Below are 23,299 nucleotides of genomic sequence, written 5' to 3' on the forward strand. Positions count from 1 at the left end.
TTTAAATGTAAGACTTTATACTACAATAATCCTGGAAGAAAACTTAGGAAACACCATTCTAAACATTGGCCTTGGGAAAGAATTTATGACTAAGTCCCCAAAAGCAATTGCAACAAAAAACAAAAATTGACAAGTGGGACCTAATTAAACTAAAGAATTTCTGCACACATTGTATAAACTATCAACAGAGTAAACAGACAACCTATAGAATGTAAGATTTGCAAACTATGCATGCAACAAGGGTCTAATATCCCAAATCTATAAGGAATGGAAACAATTGAACAAGCAGAAAACAAATAACCCCTTTAAAAACGAGCAAAAGACATGAACAGGCACTTTTCAAAAGAAGACATACGAGCAGCCAACAAATATTTTAAAAGGCTCAACATCACTAATCATTAGAGACACGCAAATCAAAACCACAAAGAGATACCATCTCACACCAGTCAGAATAGCTACTATCAAAAAGTTAAAAAAAAAAAAACAGATGCTAGTGAAGCTGTGGAGCAATGGGAACGCTTGTACCCTGTTGGTGGGCATGCAAATTACGTCAGCCACTGTAGAAAGCAGTTTGGAGATTTCTCAAAGAACTTAAAATAAACTACCATTCAACCTAGTCATCCCATTACTCAGTATGGTGTATGCACGCCACACTTTTTTGGTCTAATCCATTTTTTTTTTTTTGAGACAGAGTTTCACTCTGTTGTCCTCTCACTCTGTTCACAAGAAAATAAATCATTCTACCAGAAAGACACATGTACTCTCACAATTTCATTGGAACACTATTCACAATAGCAAAGGCATGGGAATCAACCTACGTGCCCATCAACAATGGATTACAGGCCAGGCACAGTGGCTCATGCCTGTAATCCCAGCACTTTGGGAGGTCAAGGTGGGCAGATACCTGTGGTCAGCAGTTCAAGACCAGCCTGGCCAACATGGTGAAACTCTGTCTCTACTAAAAATACAAAAATTAGCCGGGCGTCCTGGCACCTGCCTGTAATCCCAGCTACTTGGGAGGCTGAGGCAGAAGAATCGCTTGAACCTGGGAGGTGGAGGCAGCAGTGAGCTGAGATCATGTCACTGCACTTCAGCCTGAGAAACAGAGTAAGATTCTGTCTCAAAGAAAAAAAAATGGATTAGACCAAAAAAGTGTGGTATATATAGACCATAGAATACTATGTAGCCATTAAAAAAAAATGAAATCATGTCCTTTGCAGCAGCACGGATGCAGCTAAAGGCCATTGTCCTGAGTGAATTAATGCAGAAACAGAAAACCAAATACTGCATGTTTCACTTATAAATAGGAACTATACAATTTTAACTAACACTACTAAGTGATAGAATTGAGAATTGTACCTCTGACTCCAGACTCAGTCCTTAACTATTATAGTGTTTTTTGTGGGGACCATATGAGTGCAGAGGTGAAAATACTGACAGATATTGAAAGATGCTATTGGGTAAATAAACTACAAGAGAGTTCAGAGAAATTAATGATAAAAATGATCATACTACTCCTCTCACTTACCTAACTTTTAAGCAAACCCATTTGGGAGGTCCTTTCTAAAAAGAAAATAAAAGAGAGAAAATGAGAATGCTCAAGTAGATAGTACTATTGAAACAGGTTACTAAAAATGCATGTGGTATCACCAAAGAACCTGTTCTGACAGCAGAGAAAATGAAATTAGGCTTTCTGTCCTTATACTCAAGGATAACTGTGCCTTATTGCAAATATTTATTCCAACTGTTCCATAAAATATCTTTGAGTTTTGAAAGCAAAAAAAGTTAAAAATAATTTTCTTACAGGAAAATAGTTGATTATTGAACTTCATTAAAAGTTTTTAATGTCCTCTCTTTGAAAGACACTGTAAAGAAAATGAAATGACAAGCCTCTGGCTGGCAGAAAATATTTATAAAACATATGTCTGATAAAGAACTTATATTCAGAATGATATGGTCTGGCTGTGTCCCCACCCAAATCTCATCTTGAATTGTAGCTCCCATAATTCCCATGTGTTATGGGAGGGACTCAGTGGGAGATAATTGAATGATGGGGGTGGTTTCCCCCATACTGTTCTCATGGTAGTGAATAAGTCTCATGAAACTTGATGTTTTTATAAGGGGTTTCCCCTTTCGCTTGGCTGTCATTCTCTCTTCACTGCCACCATGTAAGACGTGACTTTTGTCTCTGCCATTATTGTGAGGCCTTTCCAGCCATGTGGAACTGTCAGTCAATTAAACCTCTTTTTCTTTATAAGTTACCCAGTCTTGAGTATGTCTTTATCAGCAGCATGAAAATGGACTAATACAGAGACTATATAAAGAACATTTACAACTCAGTAATAAAAACAGAAAGCAATGAATCAAGCTAAGTAGTTGGCAAAAGGTTTAAACAAACATTTCATAAAAAGAGGTTGTATGAATGACCCAAAGCATATGAAAAAATCATCAGCCTCACTAGCCATTAGGAAAATGTGAATTAAAACTATGATGAGATGCCATTACATTCTGACTAGAATGGCCAAAATAGAAAACAAAACAGAGTACCTACCAACTGTTGGCCAGAATGTGAAATAACTGAAACACTCGTATATTGCTGGCAATAGTATGAAATGGTGCAACCACTCTATAGAACTCTGGCAGTTTTTTCTTAAGTTAAACATACACTTATCATATGATTTGACATTTTTACTCATAGGTATTTACTCAAGAGTGAGGAAATTGTATATCCAGAAGAAGAGAAATACATGAATGTTGATATCAGTTTTATTTATAATGGCCAATAATTGAAAACCATTTGAATGTTCATTAACAGGAAAGAGAAATTTTTTAATGTGGTATATCCAACACTACTCAGGAACACTGCTCAGGAACAAACTACTGATTAATACAACAAAACAGAAGAACTTCAAAAACATTATGCTGAGTTAAAGAAGCCTCACATATAACAATACACACTCTATAACTGTATGTGTGTGTGTGTGTGTGTATATATGGCATCTATATATCTATATCTATAGATATATAGATGCATAAAATTCTAGAAATCAAAAACTCTCTTATTGTTACCAAAAGCAGATAAGTAGTTGCTTGGGAAAAAGGGCTGGAGGGGAGAGGGTAAACTGCAAAGGGCACTGACATTGTGGTCACACAAGTGTATACATTGTCAAAACTCTAACTGAAATGTGGACTAACATGTTGCATTTTATTATATGTAAATTATACCTCAATAATATTTACTTTAAAAGGCATAATGTAAAATATGTATGTACACATACATACAATATAATTACTAAAAAACCGTTATCTTTTTATGTGGCAGTTACTCATATTAAACTTTTTAACCCTCTCAATTCTCTCAACACATCAGTATAGTAATAGTGGCAAGTCCAAACTTCCCTAATTCTATTCCAAATAACTGTTCTAATTATCTGTAGCTCACCATTTAAATAGGAGTACTTGAGATAATAAAATAATTACCTAAATCACCCATCTCAATGAATGATTTAGAATTGAAGAGCCATTGCCAAACAAAAGATTGTAGATTTACAATTAACATCTAAGTATGCTGTAGTATATGTTTTTAATTTACAATAGAATCTGCCAATAATTTCCTCAAATAAGTTTCAAATTCCTAATAATGTAGAAATACATGTCATAAATACATAATATTCTTAGGTAAGATGCTATTATAGAGAAGAATTTAAAACATTTACAGTGACCTTCACAATAAAAGAAACCAGGGGAAGCATAAAATATCTTTTAAACTCCTTGTAGACTCCTGTTTCTGTCTGCAATATTCAATAATCTGTGGTCTGAATGGCTTATGAAATTGTGAGTTTCTCATCGTTTAGCCCATACCTTAGCTGCCACCAAAAGAAAGGCCTGTCTTAACTTAGCGTTTCCTAGAATCAGAAGAAAGGAGTGGCTTGAAGGAGAGAAGACTCCAATCGTCTCACAAAGCATGTAGATCACTGTGTTCTGATACAGCTCAGAAATCCATGATATGAGAACACATAGAAAGAAACTAGCATAGAATAAAAGGAATGAGATCACAATTTTCAAGGCATTTGTATGGACCTTGGTCCTGGGGTCTCTGTGTCCTTTGTAATTGAGTTGCATTTTCTGGAGATGTTTCTGCAGGGAGAAAATTAACAGGAGAAAAGAGATGAAGGCCACAGTAAATGGTGTTAGACTGAACATAGTCATAGTGAATTTGACCGACACTGAAAATGTTTCAAAGTCACTCATACTGAAATTCCAAGTTGTGTTTCTTTCATATCGGTCCAGCCAGTCTTTTATATGCATGTTTATTTGTATCAGATTTAAAAATAAGAAGACCAAGGTTCCTAGCAGTATCATCAGAATCACTTTGTTTACTCTCCACTTCAAATAGAGAAAAGCAGGGCTAGAGAAACTCGCTATTTTGAGCAAATAAAAGATGCTGAAGATTGTAGCAAGCCAGAGATTGAAGTGATTAGAAACTATCCAGCTAAAAATCATAATTCTTAATCCTGTTCCAGACACAAATATGGCTAGATAATGCAGAGCTAAAAACCAACTTACTAATATTTCCCAGATCAGCCCAATTCTGGAGATTGCCAAGATAATGAGGAGTTTATCGACTGAGGACAGCTCTCTTTTACTGACCCAGTCAATGCAGTTGATCAGTACTATAAATCCATTGCTCAAATTCCCAATTATGAATTCTGCAATTATTACAAGAGTGAAGATACTCGGCAGGGCACTTTCCATGTCAGAACAGAGAAAGTTCAATGTCTAATGTCACTGCTGGTTATTCACTGATCTAAAATGCTATTCACATCCTTGAGTGTCCAGTGGAGTTCTTCTTCCTTCTCCTTTTTCTGCTCCTTCTTTCATTGTTGGCTCAACGTCAAAGCAGAAATCTCTAAAGTTTGCTGATCGATCTTCACATAACTGTTCTGGTGATATCTTTATTTTTCTTCAATTTCTCTGCTGAGCCCTAGCTAAGATATTTATGTCTTCACCATGGGCAGAAATATTTCATAGATGATTATGCAGCAAAGTTAAACTCACATTTGCAACCATGCAAATAAAGATATATTCTCTTTCATTGTTTTGTACTTTTTTGCCTTGTCTGAGCATAGAAAATTAGATTCAACCAGCTTGAGTTCTGAGGTACAAATATTATAAAAATCTGATTCATAGAATATGTAGCTAAATGAAGCTTTTATGGCTAATAGCATAGCCAATGAAGCTTTATAAAATATGCAAAGACTTACCTATGCTATTTCAAAAGAGTGCTCAATTTCTTGTGGAGCTAAAGCTGGATCTGGTCAATACTGTGACTAAAGAGAAACTCGTTTACAAAGCATCCATCTTTCTCATTCCCTGCCTCATCACTACTTAGCAGTGCTCACCACCATCCCTCCATAGGCACCAAATGCCTTCACATTTTATCCGCTTTTCCCCTCATATTTCTTTTTTAAACTTAAAAGTGATAAAAAAACAAATTTTACAAAATCAGCAACAGCTACCAAAGAAAGCAGTACTATATTACATCATAACTTGCAAAACTGAAAACCAAGCAAAGAAATAGATACACTAGTTCCCCTTATCCATGAGGCCTATGTCCCAAGACCCCCAGTGGATGCCTAAAACAGCAGATAGTACCAAACTCTATATACAATATATTTTTTTCCTGTATTCACCTACCTATGATAAAGTTTAATTTGTAAATCAAGCACAGTAAAAGATTACAAAAATAACTAATAATAAAATAGAACAATTAAAACAATATACTATAATAAAAGTTGCCAGGGGTTGTGGCTCATCCCTGTAATCCTAGCAATTTGGGAGATTGAGGCGGGAGGACCGCTCGAGCCCAAAAGTTTGAGACCGGCCTGGGCAACATAGGGAGACCCTGTATCTAAAATAAATAAAAATTAAAAAAATAAAAAGTAAAAAAATGTGTTAAAATATATAGTGTGGTGTCTCTCACTCTCTCAAGATACCTTACTGTACTGTACACACCTATTTTTGGACTGTGGTTGACCTTGGGTCACTGAAACTGCAGATAAGCGGGGACTAATGTGTTCATTGTGAAGAGTCAAGGTTCCTCACCCCGCCCCACTCTTTCAAAAACTACCGAAAAAAAGTGGATTACCAAAATTCTGAAAACGTGGAGACTCAAGAAAGATTGTCTAATTCAAAATTAATATAAATAAAACACTTTATCTTGATTATAAGATAATAAGTAGCCATTTAGCTAGATGAATACAAAGCTATTTTTATTTAATAAAGATATAATTTGTGAATTATGAATGTTTGTATTTTATTACTCATGCAATCTTTATTGGGTGATCTACAGAGTACTAAAAAATTTACAAAATAATTGCATCATCTTTAATGATTTGCAAGTTTCAATTATAACTTAAAATAGGTAGATATTTTCTATTTTGTTGTTATAATGGTATATTTGTCAAGATAGAATAGAAAATGTCTCCTTTAACAGTTTGTTAGGTTTGTATATTTATGACCTTTAAATATGTAGCTATGTGGCATGTGGTCTTCCATTTGCATTCTTGACCCAGGGCTGAAGAGATCTTTTATACTTTTTCATTTTAGGGTGTTCTTCCTACCTATCTAGAGAAAAGGGTTTGGGGATGCCGGTCACAACTTGATAATACCCCAAATCTGTACAAATAGGCCTGAGGAATGGTACTGTACTTGCTGGTATATGAAAAAATACCACAGTTTTTAGAACTTGTGATATAACACATGACAAAGACATAGAGAATGGATAACAGGCTTGCGGTTCTGAGCTGCATTTTCCTGGTGTGTTTCCATAAGAGAAAACATTTAAAAATATAAATTTAATCAAAGAGATGTAGTCTCTCACTTCTATAAGAGAAAGAGAATAGATGCTAGGGAGCATCACAGAAAAACTTTTTCAGCAGTCTGAACTGAAAAGGAAAATGAGGCAAAGGGCAGGAAGAGGAAACAATGAAAGGTTTGAGTATGTAAAGTATTTTTTAAGTCACTGATGGATGCAGTTTGCCAACGTTGTGTTAGGATATTTGCAGCTATGTTTTTAAGGAATATTGACATTTAATTTTCATTTCTCATATTGTGCCTATGAGAATTTGGTATTAAGATTTAGCTAACCTCATATCATTTGTTTAGAAATATTTCTTTTCTCTTTTTCATTTTTGCTGCCTATTATTGTTACATATAACAAATATAGAACATTTAATGAAGTTTAAATGCTATAGTATAAAGTGCACACTAATTTAAAAGCCTCCCATGGCAAGAAAGAGAACTTTGTAAACCCCATAACACCTTATTTGCTCCTTTCTAATCACAACCCCTATCTTCATTCCAGAAGTAACAACTATCTGCAATTCAAATCACGTTATTGTTTAACTTTGTATATTTTAATTTGAATATGTATCCCTAAGCACTAGCTTGGTTTTGCCTGGTTTTGGATTGCACATGAATGGAATAATACTGTACACAATATTTTTGAATTTAACTATTTTTGATCAATATTATGTTTCTAAAATTAATCATGTTGCATATAGAGATAGATCATTTATTCAATTGCTGTATAGTATTAATGGAATGACAATTCAAAATTTATCTAGTCTAGTGGAAACACAAAGTTGGTTTATTTTGAGTTTGGAGACTATGATGATGATGATGCTACGAACATTCTTTAACATGTAACTTATTATTGAGTACATGAGCATACATTTCTATGATCTTGATCTGGAACCATTCCGTTGCCTATTTCTTCTGGTCTTGTTTTGGCAGTTACGACTTTCTAGATATTTGTCAGTTTCAATTATTTATGTTTTCATGTAATTTTGATTATAATATCATCTTATTAAATTTTTAATACCAACAGAATATATCCTTTAAATTCTTCATATTATTTGCTTTTCTTTTCATGATTTATCTTACCAGAAGTTTGCCTATTTTGTTAGTCTATTCAAGTCTGTCTTGGTCGATCTTTTCAGATGTATTATTTTTCATTAATTTCATCTCTTATATTGTTATTTAATTATTTTTACTTCCGTTGAGTATGTTTGCTGTTATATTCCTGGCATACGTTTTCCTCTTAGAATTTTTCAGCATTTCTCACAAGGTTTTACTATATTTTATTATACTTAATTTTAAATATTTTCTAAATTTATTGTGATTTTTCTTCCACCATAGACTATTTTTAAAATATATGTTCGAGTTTCCATTTACATAAAATTTTCTCTGCTAAAATTTATGTTATGCATATATGGTCAATTTTGATAAATGTTTTGTGTTTGCTGAAAATAATGTGTATCCTGTAGCTTTGGGGTGCAGTGTTTCATACATCCACTAGATCTATTTGTAATCATGTTATTTAAATCCTATTTACCTTTTCTGAGTTTTGTCTTTTTATTCTATTATTTCTTGAGATTTAATGTTAAACTATCCTGCTATGAGTATAGGTTTATCTATGTCTTTTAGAAGTCCTGTCAACTTTTACTTTACATATTTTGATGCCATGCTGATGAGTGCATAGAGCGTTAGAATTGTAGTATCTTCATGGCAAATATAACCTCTACTCACATGAGGTGACATTATCTATTCTAATGTCTTTTTCCTTAAAATCTATTTAGCCTCACGCCTGAAATCCCAGCACTTTGGGAGGCCGAGGCGGGTGGATCATGAGGTCAGGAGATCGAGACCAGCATGGCTAACACATGGTGAAACCAAGTCTCTACTAAAACTACAAAAAATTAGCCGGGCATGGTGGCAGGCACCTGTAGTCCCAGCTACTCGGGAGGCAGAGGCAAGAGAATGGCAGGAACCTGGGAGGTGGAGCTTGCAGTGAGCCAAGATCACACCACTGCACTCCAGTGTGGGTGACAAAGCGAGACTCCGTCTCAAAAAAAAAAAATCTATTTAGTATATATTAAAATGATTACATTAGCTTATTTTTGTTAGTGTTTTATGGTGTGATTTTTCTAAATTTTACTTTTAACTTCTCTTTGTTATTAGGATTTAGATATATATCTTGTACATAGCATAGAGGTCGTAAAATGGGACCTAGAGCTATATGCTAACATTTTATTCCTTGTAGGATAAGAAATGTAGTCTTGTAGGAGTCCCCTCTCCCCCTTGAAGTTGTATATTATGTAAATTTTTGGTCAATAAAATATTGTGGAAATGACATGTTGCTTCAGAGTGAGAGCATTTACTCACCACTATAAGACTGCAAATTTCTCATCTTCTTGCCTTGACACTCAAACAAGGGTCAATAAACCATCTATCAGCCTGGATTCTTTTGTGACCACTATGAGCACAGGACATGTAACAGAAATCAAAAACAAAAACAAACAACAAAAACTTCTCCTACGTGGAGTCCCTGAGCTTTGGGGATCTTGTTAGTACAGCATAGACTAAGCTATCTTGGCAAGTATGAGACTGGCCTCTTGAACTGGTATGTTACTAAAACAAAACACCTAACTTATGTGACACTGGCTTAATACTTGATTCATTGGCAGTGAGTGGCAAGAAAAAACATTACTGTTTACTGTAAAACAAGATAGGGAGTGGCAAAACATTCGATAGCAGTCACCTGTGGTTATGTGGGAGGTAAATCACATATTTGAAAGTTTTGTAACTCTAGAAAAAAAATATAATTGAATATATTAATGGTTCATTTGACAATTAAAAAAATTGACTTTAGAAAATAATTGCCTACTGTCTAGCTAAATAGCAAACAGAGGGAGATGCTCTAAAAGAAAATGATATTTATTTGGGAGTAATATTGCAATGAGAATACATGTGCCATAGTAAATTATGTGTGTATTCAGGGACATTAGAAAAGACAAGGATTTCTAAAAGAGGAAGATTACATAATTGTTTTGAGATAATTAACCTTGGATCCAAGGATCAGGAACAAGGGTGACACCTGTCTAAGGTTAGACAAGGAGGTTCTGAGCAGATGTCCTTGCAGAAGTATCTTTTTGTGTAGGGTTGCAGTGGCCTTTGTGCAATGTTGTTGTTTTGTAGAGTCTTTTCTGGTAGCTCTTGTTATAAGTCGTATTTACATTAAGAACTCTCCCCTCATGGCCTTCTCCAGCTCCATTTGTCAGAGTTTTAACACAAGTGACTTCATTTTGATTCTGACAATTTTATACTACTTTGCAAGCAGGAAAAAAATATATCAGAAAGAAGAGTCTAGAAACTTGAGATTTTGCAGAGCTGGAAGAGGCAACTGCTTCTCAACACTGAATAGTATTTGAGTTTCTAAGCCTGGTTAAAACTCAGCCATGGCTGGGCACGGTGGCTCACGCCTGTAATCCCAGCACTTTGGGAGGCTAAGGCAGGTGCATCACAAGGTCAGGAGATCGAGACCACCCTGGCTAACACGGTGAAACCCCATCTCTACTATTAATACAAACAATTAGCCTGGCATGGTGGCGGGCACCTGTAGTCCCAGCTACTTGGGAGGCTGAGGCAGGAGAATGGTGTGAACCCAGGAGGCAGAGCTTGCAGTGAGCCAAGATCATGCCACTGCACTCCAGCCTGGGCCACAGAGTGAGACTCCGTCTCAAAAAAACAAAAAACAAACAAACAAAAAAACTCAGCCTTAAGACTAGGATTATCTCAAGGGTATGGTTGTTACATCCATGTTAAAAATTCTGACTAGATTATATTTACAGAAAAAGGTTCAACTGACAGTTACTGCTCTTTCAGTTTGACAAGGTAATATCAAGGCAGAGTGATTAAATATCTGGTTTCCTGAATGAAGCCTTACAATGCTCAAAGTATCTGATATTAAATCCAGAGAGAAAAGCAGAGGGGTGAAAAAGCAACAAAACACAGCAAATATAAGAAGCAGCAGACTAGACAAAAACTGTGACTTGTTTGCTTGTATGTGAAGCTGACAGGAATTAAGTAGACTAAAAAATTGAGTTTCTTAAAAAATTGTGCTTCTGAAAGAAATGCCAACCCAAACTAGGTCACACGTGTCAAAGTATATTAAAATGGAGGCCAGGTCTGAAGAATCCCTAGGCAGACAAAGCCAGTTAGGTCTCATATGACCTTAAAACTGATTGATTTACAAAAGTAAGCAAAAATTAACTTGAGCTATTTTTTATAAATGCCTATAGTAAAGAAAAACAGAACTTAAACTCAACCAATCAAAGACAGCCAACAGGATAGCCAAACATTTGATTGGTTAGCTATAAAGTTACCTTATTTCATCTGTCCTGTCTTTGCTTTTCTTCTTTGTCTGTCCTATAAAAGCATCCCCATCGCGTTCCCTCGGTAGAGCTCCGGAACCACCTCAGTTTGGAGCTTTCCAATTTATGAACCATCATTTGCAAATAAACTTTTAAAAAACTTTAGTGTGCCTTAGTTGACCTTATTAACACATGTTGAGCTAAAACCCTGTATTAGTCTGTTCTCATGTTGCTAATAAAGACATACACAAGACTAAGTAATTTATAAAGGAAAGAGGTTTAATGAACTCACAGTTCTACATGGCTGAGGAGGCCTCACAATCATGGTGGAAGACAAAGAAAGAGGAAAGGGACATCTTACGTGGCAGCAGACAAGAGAGAGTTTGCAAGGCAACTCCCCTTTATAAAACCATCAGATCTCATGAGAATTACTTATTCATTATCATAAGAACAACATGGGAAAGACCCGCCCACGATTCAGTTGCCTCCCACTGAGTTCCTCCCCATGACACATGGGAATTACTCGGGAGCCACAATTCAAGATGAGATTTGGATGGGGACACAGAAAAACCATATCAAACCCTGTTCCAGAGATGCAGTTTAACATATTATGAGACAAATGGGAGCTCACAGACAATATGAGAATCTCTTGAAGATTACACTTTTTTTCCTAGTTCTAAAATTACATCTTTTTTAATGAGACTTATATTCTTCCCCCAACTCAGAACATTTCCTTGTCTTTAAGGGAGACCTGCCACAGATAGAGAACCATAGAAAATAACAGTAACAACCACATAAACTGTCATGTTAGCTATGAAAAGAGTTGGTGGAAGGAATGGGCTCTCACCAAGACAGTGAAAAATAGAGGTAGGTGGTAAACAAATATGCAAAAGGACCATTCAGAAACCCAAGCAAACTATCATTCTCCCCATTTTACTGGTGCTATAAATACCTGAAAAAAAGTGCCACAGAAATGGATTAGTGTTATCATCAACAAATATATTTGAGCCGGGCACAGTGGCTCACACCTCTAATCCCAGCATTTTGGGAGGCCAAAATGGGAAGATATCTTGAGCCCAGGAGTTTGAGACCAGCCTGAACAACATAAAAAGACCACCTCTCTATAAAATAAGATAAAATAAAATAAAATAAAATAAAATAAAAAAAATAGCTGGGCATGGTGGTGCACATCTGTAGTCCCAGCTACTTAGAAGGCTGAGATGGAAGGATTGCTTGAGCCCGGAAGGCCCAGGCTGCAGTGAGCCATGCTTATGCCACTGCCAGTCAGCCTGGGTGACAGTGAGACTCATATATATGTATACATTTAAATATATGTATACATGGGTGAGACTCATATATACAGATATGTATATATTTGTACGTATGAGATAAGCTGGTGAGAATGAGGTCATTGAAGCAGATATCCTGTTCCTTGCCAATTAAGTCAGTGATGAATTCCATAGTTAATACCACCATGAAAATGTCCTCCTCTATACCTGGCTTCTCTTCAGAGAGAAAAATTCCTAATTTTATAATTTTTTTTATTTTCAACTAAGGGATTAATACAATAATTAAGGGATTAAATATTTAATATTTATTGTTTCAGTACTTCTCTCTTGCTATGTCCATTAATTCCATTGCTCATTGTTAATTTGTTGTTAATTACATTAAAATCAGTTCTTCTGTAGGATCATGTCATATTGATCTTTATGAAATCAGAGCAATCATTTTTCAAATGATTCAGCTGGCAATTTTCATACTAACAAATATTTTAGTTTTTTATAAGAGCCACAGGTGATAACTTTCCATATTCAAAAGAATACCCAGTGAAGTCTAGTGTTCTCAGATGCAGTTACGGACAGTTTTCCTTTCACTGTTTTCACTTGTTGCTTCACCCTAAACTTCAATTTATGTACACATTACAGTCCCCAATTAGGAGACTAACAGGATGTTGAAGAATGGCATTGGCAGGACATTTCTGAATTCAGTAGCAGGAATGAACTCAAAACCAGCAGTACTGAGTCAGTTCTTGTTCTCTTCTGACTGAATTCGTGTTCATGGAAATGTTTCTGCAAGACTGAGTGGTCACAGTGTCAGAAGGCTCCTCAGGTTTTGCCTCTTCACACATGTCCATTTCCCCTTTGACCTTCTGCCATGTCAAGATACAGCTGGAAAGCCCTCACCAGAAGCTGAGCAGATATCAGTGCCTGCTTTTGGAACTTCCCAGCCTGCAGAAACATTAGGTCTTTATAGATTGTCCAGCTTCAATATTATGCAGCCTTAAAAAGGAACAAGATCATGTCCTTTGCAGGGACATGGATGAAGCTGGAAGCCATTATCCTCAGCAAACTAATGCAGGAACAGAAAACCAAACACCACGTGTTCTCGCTTATAATTGGGAGGTGAACAATGAGATCACATGGACACAGGGAGGGGAACAACACTTAGCGGGCATGTTGGGGCAGGACGGGGGTGGGAGAGCATTAGAGAAAAGAGTTGATGCATGCTGGGCTTAATATCTAGGTGATAGGTTGATAGGTGCAGCAAACCACCATGGCACACATTAACCTATGTAACAAACCTGCATATCCTGCACATGTACCCCAGAACTTAATAAATAAATAAATAATACATTTTTAAAAGATCCACATGATCAAAAATGCAAAAAAAAATAAATTATCCAACTTCAGGTATTCTTTTATAGCAACATAAAATGGACTAAGACAAAACTCTGTGGTGAAATCTCCAATTATTTGTAAGATGAAGTCGTAGAAATGGGTGAAGTCCAAAAAGCAGGTTATAATCTATATAAACATTTAAGACTTTTATTAATATTGACAAAGTCCCCTACAAAATGCATGCACCAATGTAAGCTCTCACTAGCATTAAACGAGACTGCTCGTAACTTTGCACACATTATAATTCTATGTAACAATTTACAAAAGCAAAATGTGGCCAATTTGAAATGCAAAATAGAGCACTTGTTATTCATTTTACCATAGTACTATACTAAACTTACGTTTTTGTTTAAATGTGAGGCTGAATTTTTTATATATGATAATCTGGTTTTTAAAATTATTTTTATCTTTTTTATAAAACAGTAAAAGTATTAAATTTTTTTCTACTGTTTATATTGCAAATAGACTTTAAAGTTTTTAATCTATTATTTACCTTTCTATATTTATTTTCTTGAGGCATTCAGAAATTCTTCCAGTCATGCTATTAAATGCATTCATTTTAAATGTACTCTGCCTTTAATATCATGTTTAAACATGTCTTCCCAACTTTCAAGATTACAAAACAATTCTTGGTATTTTCTCTGTTTGATTGTTTACTTTTTCAATTCTATATTTAATCCTCTTATTTACTTTGGAAGAAGAAGTATGTTACACATTTGTCTTATTTCAAATTGCAATATTGTTGTTACAATACTAATTATTGCAGGGTTAATTTTTCTTCACATATTTAAGATGGAAAAATCTATCTCACACAATATATTTGTAAACAAAAAAAGATATTTATAAACTCTATAATTTTTTTGTTGCACTGGAGTTTCCTCATTCTTTCATGATGTTATTCTATGCCACTCTTTAAAGAGAAGTGTTGGAGGACATGAAAGGTGAGAGGATAGACATGTAACTATTTGTTGGACACCTAACTTAGGATGGACAGATTATATTATTTTTATCAGCAAATGTGAACTCATCAGTCTTTTCCTTAATGACATGTGCTTCCTCAAATTAAAGGCAGTAGAGTCTTATTTTGATTTTCTTGTAAAAGTTTTAAAGAATTGTTTTCAAATCTAAAGTGATAGTACATCTAATGTAGTTTTTCTGTTTGTTGTGAGTTAGAAATACAATTTTGTCCCAATATTAAATGACAGAGGTCTCAATATCATTAGTTGAACAGTCTACGTTTTTTTTTTGTTGATTTCTAATGCCAAATCTATCACGTACGGAGGTTCCTATGTGATAAGAATAAACAATCTGGTCTCACCAGACCTGTCTTTAGTTTGATCTGCTGACCTATTACTTATTATATACATTTTATTTCTGTGTCACAACCTTCATTGTTTTGATTTTTTTAATAATTTTTTTGAGACACGGTCTTGCTCTGTCTCAAAAAATATTAAAAAAATTTTTTTAATCTTTTTTTTTTTTTTCCTGACAGAGTCTTGCTCTGTAGCCCAGGCTGGAGTGGCTCAATTAAGGCTCACTTCAGCCTTGACCTCCTGGGCTCAAACAATCCTCCTGTTTGATTCTCTGTGTAGCTAAGACTACAGTTGCCACTATACCCAGCTACTTTTTTGATGCTTTTAGAGACAAGGTCTCACTGTGTTGCTCAAGTGGGTCTTGAATGCCTTAACTCAAGTGATCTTCCCATCTCAGCCTCCCAACATGCTGGGATTACAAGTATGAGCCACTAAATAAATAATTTAAATAAGTCTTGCTATCTACTGGATACCCCTACCTTAATTTTCTTTTTCAAGAATTGTCTGAATTATTTTTGAATACTTAATTCATGTGTAATTTAGGACTGTTTTGTCAATTTGAAAATAAATTTCTTTAAGATTCTGGTTAGAATTATATTGAATATGTGAATTAATTTGAGCATAATCAATGTCTTTGAAAATTAATTTTTGCATATCTATATAGTTCAAATCCTTCACTAAAGTATTATAGTTATGTAATTTCACAATATATAACATCATGAAACACTTTTCTGAGACTTAGTCATAATCAAAATATAGTTCTTATTTGTAATAAGAAAGGGAATTTTTTTAATTCCACATTTTAATGGACCAGTGCTGGTGAATAGGTGTAATTTTAGCCCATATATATTGATATTGTACTCAGCAAGCTTATCAAATTTGTGTTATTTCAAAAGTTTTCCTGTTGATTTTTAAATTATCTAGGTGGAATTACTACTATTAGTATATAATTTCTTTAAATTTCCATCCAAATTTCTATGTAACAATATTTTTGTCAAAGTGTATTAGTTAAATGACCTAACGAAATTGTCAATAAACAAGTATCTTTGTCTTAATCTTGATTAAATGAAAAGCTCTATGTTACACTAATAACTATGCTTCTGTATTTGTTTAGTAGACATACAAGTTATTAAATGTTGCTTCTATTTAAACTTGGTTTGGGTATTTATCTTGATTAGGAGTTAAATTAGATTAAACATTTTTGCAACATCTGTTGAGATAATTTTATGTAAATTAAAATTATTTACTTTCTAGTTTTAAATTATCTTCAAATTCTTAGAATGAATCTTTTCATTTGTAATATATTTTAAGTATATATTATGAGACTAATTTACTTTTACACTTTTTTTTAGCAGTTTTGTGCCTGTATCTAATTGCCTACCTTCTCATTATTTGCTGTCCTCTACTGTTTTTACTCACTTTGAGAATAATTTTTTAACTTCTTAAAATAAATGAGAATAAAACATTTAGGTTCACTGAAGTAGTTTGGAGAAGGTAAAAATTATGACATTTTTAAACTTAGTAAAAGTTTTTTATAAATCCATCTGAATTTGATATCTTGTGTATATTTTGATAGTCCATTCAAAATCTTTGAAATTGTTGATTTATTAAAGTTTTTTACTACTAATATAAATTTTTGTTAACCTATGCTTTTTAAAAACTTGGCAATTTCAACTGAGTTTTTAAATTTTGGAATAAAATTATTTAGAACTTTGATTATATAAAGCTCTGCTATTTAGTATTTTCTACATTTCATCAATTTTTCTGCTTCTCGTATTTCTTGATCAGTACCATCAGACTTTTGAATTTCCTAATCTTTAAAAGATTTTGGTTGTACTACCATTGTCTATTATATTTTGATTTTCTATTTATTTATTCATTCATTTATTTATTTACTACTTTGATTTTGGTTGACATCCAAAAGCATAATTACTGCCCTTCAGACAAATTCTAACTTTTCCTTTTGCTGAGTCTATGACTTGGGAAATTTACTTAACCTTGCTATCCCTTGGATTTTTGTTTGTTTAGTTTTTGAGACAAGGTCTCACGCTGTCACCCGGGGCTGGAGTGCAGTGGTGCGATCTTGGCTCACTGTAGTTTTGACCTCGCAGGCTCAAGTGATCCTTCCACCTCAGCCTCCCTAGTAGCTGGGACTACAAAGGTGCACCACCATACCCGGCTAATTTTTGTATTGTTTGTAGAGGGCAGTGGGGTCTCACCATATTGCCCAGGCTTGTCTCGAACTCCTGAACTCAAGCATCCACCTGTCTTGACCTCCCAATGTTCGGGGATTACAGGCAGGTGCCACAGCACCCTGTCATGCCTCTGATTCTTTAAAAACCAAAGGGAATGAGACTGTTTTTAGGAATAAATATAAAATAAATAGCACACCTAAACCACCTAGAACAGTACCATGTACTAAGTAAGCGCAAGGTACATATTAGCTCCTTCTTAACTTATTCACCCTTCTTTAAATTTTTCTGTTGTTCATTTTTCTTAACTGAAGGTGAATATGTGCCTCATTCATCTGGAAAACTTTTTTATAAAACATGTACTAATGGATATGGATTCTTAGCTTTAGCCGGTTTTTTCATTTTGATTGTGAAAAGCTTTTTCGTTGCTGAGTTCTAAACATTTATCTTTTATGTAGAAATGTTCATCTTTTTCTCAGTTATAGAGAATAGTTCAATTTTCAAACTTTTTTGATTGATTTAACATTTTACTACTTTACATTCTACGTAATACTTATTCCATGGAATCTGTTCTTTGTTATAGTGTACATGGTTTAGGTGTGTAAATGTTTCATGTGTATTTGAATGTTTGTGTCCAGATTTCTGTCAAGTACAGATTTCTACATAAAAGTATTGAATTAATTTTTGCTAATTGCATTCTTAAAATATTCCATATCATTCTTTCTTCTGCTTGATATGGCAGTTTATTAAGTGTGTCTTACATTCTTATTATTTGTGGATTCTTCAGTTTCTGTTTGTGAGGCTTCTGCTTTATCTATTTACGTAATGCATTGTTAGGTATGTCCAAATTCATGATTATTGCATCTTTTCCATGAATTTTTTCTTTTTCTTTTTTTTGAGACGGAGTCTCGCTCTGTCGCCCAGGCCGGACTGCGGACTGCAGTGGCGCAATCTCGGCTCACTGCAAGCTCCGCTTCCCGGGTTCACGCCATTCTCCTGCCTCAGCCTCCCGAGTAGCTGGGACTACAGGCGCCCGCCACCGCGCCCGGCTAATTTTTTGTATTTTTAGTAGAAACGGGGTTTCACCTTGTTAGCCAGGATGGTCTCGATCTCCTGACCTCATGATCCACCCGCCTCGGCCTCCCAAAGTGCTGGGATTACAGGCGTGAGCCACCGCGCCCGGCCCTTTTTTTTTTTTTTGAGACAGAGTTTTGCTCTTGTTGCCCAGGCTGGAGTTCAATGGTGTGATCTTGGCTCAGTGCCACCTCTGCCTCCCAGGTTCAAGTAATTCTCCTTCCTCAGTCTCCTGAGTAGCTGGGATTACAGGCACACGCCACCATGCACAGCTAATTTTTTTGTATTTTTAGTAGAGATGGGGGTTTCACCACATTGGCCAGGCTGGTCTTGAACTCCTGACCTCAGGTGATCTGCCCGCCTTGGCCTCCCAAAGTGCTGGAATTACAGGCGTGAGCCAACATGCCCAGCCTTCGATGAATTGTTTTATTCTTACTACTCTGTAATCACCTGTCTTTAACTGTTACTGTTGTTTACTTTAAATGTTATGTGATTATTAGTTATAATTCAGTTAAATATGACAAATATAAACAAGCAATTGAATATATGCATGTGGAAGAGCATCTATCTTTCACATAACTAAAAAATACATAGGAAAGTTTTTGTGGCACAAATTGTCCAAGGGAATAGTGTGATTCTATCACCAACAAATGATAGGATAATAGACATTAGGCATAAGTAGCAGTTACTGTGCTCATTAGTTAGTGGTAGATTCTACCCATTTATTTTCTGTCACTGTGGTTTTCTGCTTTAGGTATGCCTCTTGAAAGCAGAACATAGTCGTGTTTTGTTTTCTTATTTATTCTCTGTCTTTTGATAGATCAAGCAAATTTATTTAAATTCATGAACATTTCTGATAACATTGAACTTGCTTTTACTGTCTTATTAAAATTTTGCTAGTTATCACTCTCTTTTCACTCTTTTTTTGCTTTGAGATTAAAGTGATAAGTTCTTTTTATTCATTTCTCCATCTGTTTTTTTTTTTTTTTTTTTTTTTGAGACGGAGTCTCGCTCTGTCGCCCAGGCTGGAGTGCGATCTCAGCTCACGGCAAGCTCCGCCTCCTGGGTTCACGCCATTCTCCTGCCTCAGCCTCCCGAGTAGCTGGGACTACAGGCGCCTGCCACCACGCCCAGCTAATTTTTTGTATTTTTAATAGAGACGGGGTTTCACCGTGTTAGCCAGGATGGTCTCCATCTCCTGACCTCATGATCCACCCGCCTCGGCCTCCCAAAGTGCTGGGATTACAGGCGTGAGACACGGAGCCCAGCCTCATTTCTCCATCTATTCTAAGTTTCTATTTTTATATAACAAATCATTCCCCAAATTGCAGGCTTAAAACAGCAGTTTATTACTTTTTTCCTCACGATTCTGTGAATTGCCTGGACTTAGTGGATAGTCTCTCATTGTGGTATTTCATGTAGTTGCCATCAGATAAGGGATGGGACCACAGTCATCTGAAGGCTCAAATGGGATGAACATCTACAATGATCCAACTCAATGGCTGACATAGGGAGGATTCCCTCTTTTTCTACTGATTGGAATAGTTTCAGAAGGAATGGTACCAGCTCCTCCTTGTAACTCTGGTAGAATTCGGCTGTGATTCCGTCTGGTCCTGGACTTTTTTTGGTTGGTAGGCTATTAATTATTGCCTCAATTTCAGAGCCTGTTAGTGGTATACTCAGGGATTCAAATTCTTCCTGGTTTAGTCTTGGGAGGGTGTATGTGTCGAGGAATGTATCCATTTCTTCTAGATTTTCTAGTTTATTTGCATAGAGGTGTTTATAGTTTTCTCTGATGGTAGTTTGTATTTCTGTGGAATCAGTGGTGATATCCCCTTTATCATTTTTTGGGGGGTCTATTTGATTTTTCTCTCTTTTCTTCTTTATTAGTCTTGCTACTGGTCTATCAATTTTGTTGATCTTTTCAAAAAAACCAACTCCTGGATTCATGGATTTCTTGAAGGGTGTTTTGTGTCTCTATCTCCTTCAATTCTGCTCTGATCTTAGTTGTTTCTTGCTGTCTGCTAGCTTTTGAATGTGTTGGAGAGCAGTTTCTCATAAAAGCTTGTGGATTCAACTGTAAAAGTGGCAATCCACTCTGACTCCCCTCTCCACTGCAGAGAGCTTTCTTCTTTCACTTATTAAACTTTTGCTCCAACCTCACCCTTTTGTGTCCACACTCCTTAATTTTCTTGGTCATGAGACCATGAGCTCAGATAACACCTTAGTAATAATATCAATGACCCGGACCTGTTTTGGTAACACCAGCTCTGGGGCCAGGACACAGGGGCACTCTCAGGCAGAAGACTGAAATCTGTGCAAGTGGTATACAAATTTATCCCTTCATACACAAATCTCAGGCCAGTCTCTCTCTTGGACTTCTAAAATTTTACATTCATTGTGATGAGAATCAACATTTTTGGTTCATTTCAAAGGACAGGCTCAAGTTTTGCCAATGCTAATATGGCTCAGCAGAAAAATGCATGTGGCTTGTATTAAGAAAGCACATAAAGGATCTACATTGACTGGGTTTTCATAATCACAAAAAACGAATAAATTTGTATGAGTATCTTTATATGAAGGCAAGGAGGAAAACAGGTGAATGGAAGCCTACGTAAATGTGCTTATGATTTAAAACAAACTTATTTCCTCAGGAAAAATATATTTTTCACCTCACCTGTTAAAGTCTTAGGAAAGCTTAACCTTGATAATCTCCTAATAACAGAACTTATGTTTCTTTTCTGAACCTCATTCCTTCTCATATTGTAATAATGAAATGAATAAATGAATAGCAAGTGAGTAGTGGTGCACACTAAACTCTGAGTACTGACTGCCTTCTATTCCACTTAATACCTTTATAAGAACATTGTTATGTACCTAAGTCATGTCATCTATAAAACTAAGGTAATGATAACAATCATATGTCCCTAATATAATGGTTTTGATGATTAAGTGGAACATAGTAAATGTTTAAAAATGTTTTCTATTATAACCAATTTGGCTAGGATAGGTGGAAAGAATAGAAATATGATAATTAATTGTGAAATGTATAATATATATTAATAGGTCATCAACATCAAATTAAAAAATATAGATGATTACCATGATAGTGAAACCAAAGTTTTTAGACAAGTCAAAGCAAAGTTGAAGTCTCAGAGACCATTGTGTTTATTTGCTAACTGTATTATCAGACTGCTTAGTTGATACAGTGAATACAATAATTCTTCCAATGTACATAAACTGCCAGACAAGCAACTCAATGCAATTCACTCACTCTCGGAGAAGTTTATCCCCTCTGCCAATGTTCATCTTTCCTGGCAAACCATCCTTCAGTATTCCAGGCAAACTAGAGCAAGGTGAAGTTGAAGAAGATCCTACTTTATATTCCATTCAGAGAGCTTCCGGGTCTTCAAAAAAGATTTAGTCATGTGGGTGTGAAAGAGCTGAGTCATGAAATTTGGACCTTATTGTAAGTCCAGAAGGAAAAACAAGGGGTTTGAAGCACAAGGGTGATATGATCTAATTTCTACTTTTAAATGATCACTCTGATTGTCGTGAGGGAACTGATATGGGATGTACTGGGGGAAGAATGTTACCAGGACCAGGTCGAGGCTGTTAAAGACCTCCAGGAGAGAGCATTGTGGGCCGAACAACAAGCTTCTAGTAAAGATCATGCAAGTGGACACATTTGAGATGTATTTTGAAGGTGGAAGAAATTAGATAAGCTAATGGGTAGTGCCTGGAGGGAGTGAGGATTTTTGAACCACTAGGTAAACACCTGTGAGTAACAGAGAAAAAGTTGGGATGTGTTATGAAAGATGAATCCTAAAATTTCATATGTTGAAGACTGATGCTTCAGGACCTCAGAATGTGAACATCCATAGTAGAAGGGAATTGTGTTGTTGACGGCTGCCACCCACTCTAGGTGCCCAAGCTCCTGCAGCAGTCCTACTTCTCCCTTTCACCCACACTCACTCCCAGACAGTGTCCCTTTCAGCTCTTCCATCACCCCTTCTTTTGATTTGGCTGGTGAGAGCATAGCTGGTATTTATACTTTCTTGATATGCTAGTCTCTTTTGCTGATTGTTGACATTGGAGAAGGTCATGGAAGGGACCTGAGCTGAGCGACCTTTAGGAGCATTTCCTGTTCTTTTCCTGTACTCTGCTGCCAAGGAGAAATCTGTCTTTCACCAGGCTTGCAGCTTTCTCCGTTACCCACATCATCAGGCAATATCTGTCTGGCACCCCTCTTTGTTCCCTTTCTCTGGCCTTCCTTTTTGACATGATGGTTGACCTGAAATCACCAAGGCAGGACTGCTCATCTCCAGGTCTAATGGAAAACAGTATCTGGTGAAACCAAAGAAAATAATCCCAGTAACCCACTGGGAGCTGCTTGGCTTAAGCACCTACCCTGTGCCTAAGATACAACCCATCAAGCCCAGCTAAAACTGATCCAGTTTCCACAGGGCCAGAGAAGAATTGCCAATTAAGAATGCATTCCCACTTCAAATATGTCTATATTTATTTCAGGGAAAATATCAGTCTGCCTGGGTCCCTTATGAGAACATTGTTGTCTGTAGAAAAATCTAATCTATTAGGAAGCCTTCTTGTTTTGTTATCTGCAACTCTTCAGAAGGGCCAGACCAGACCCTCGTATGCACAGTACAGGATCCACCCATGCACATCTGTCTAGGGCCTTGTCTTTATGATTTTCTGTCACATGGCCTCTCAGCCATGCCTCCAACCAAGCTATCCTCAAATAAACACTAGCCGTGCACAAAAAGTGAAAAATTACACAAGGCCTACACAAGGTCTGAAATGGAAAG

General features: G+C 35.8%; 2 protein-coding genes and 1 long non-coding RNA gene across 4 annotated transcripts in view; all 3 read right to left on the bottom strand.

The window, feature by feature from the left end:
• The window catches only part of PRH1-PRR4 (PRH1-PRR4 readthrough), a 325,777-nt gene that overhangs the window by 58,695 nt on the left and 243,783 nt on the right, over positions 1–23,299 (bottom strand). The window lies entirely within an intron of this gene.
• Positions 1–23,299, bottom strand: part of PRH1 (proline rich protein HaeIII subfamily 1) — a 290,647-nt gene that overhangs the window by 23,579 nt on the left and 243,769 nt on the right. The window lies entirely within an intron of this gene.
• TAS2R13 (taste 2 receptor member 13) lies at positions 3,383–5,019 on the bottom strand. Its single transcript, NM_023920.2, has one exon. The coding sequence runs from the start codon at positions 4,753–4,755 to the stop codon at positions 3,844–3,846; it is 912 nt and encodes a 303-aa protein (NP_076409.1). The 5' UTR covers positions 4,756–5,019; the 3' UTR covers positions 3,383–3,843.

This window comes from Homo sapiens, chromosome 12 (genome assembly GCF_000001405.40).
Source record: "Homo sapiens chromosome 12, GRCh38.p14 Primary Assembly".
In the NCBI taxonomy this organism is placed as follows: Eukaryota; Metazoa; Chordata; class Mammalia; order Primates; family Hominidae; genus Homo; species Homo sapiens.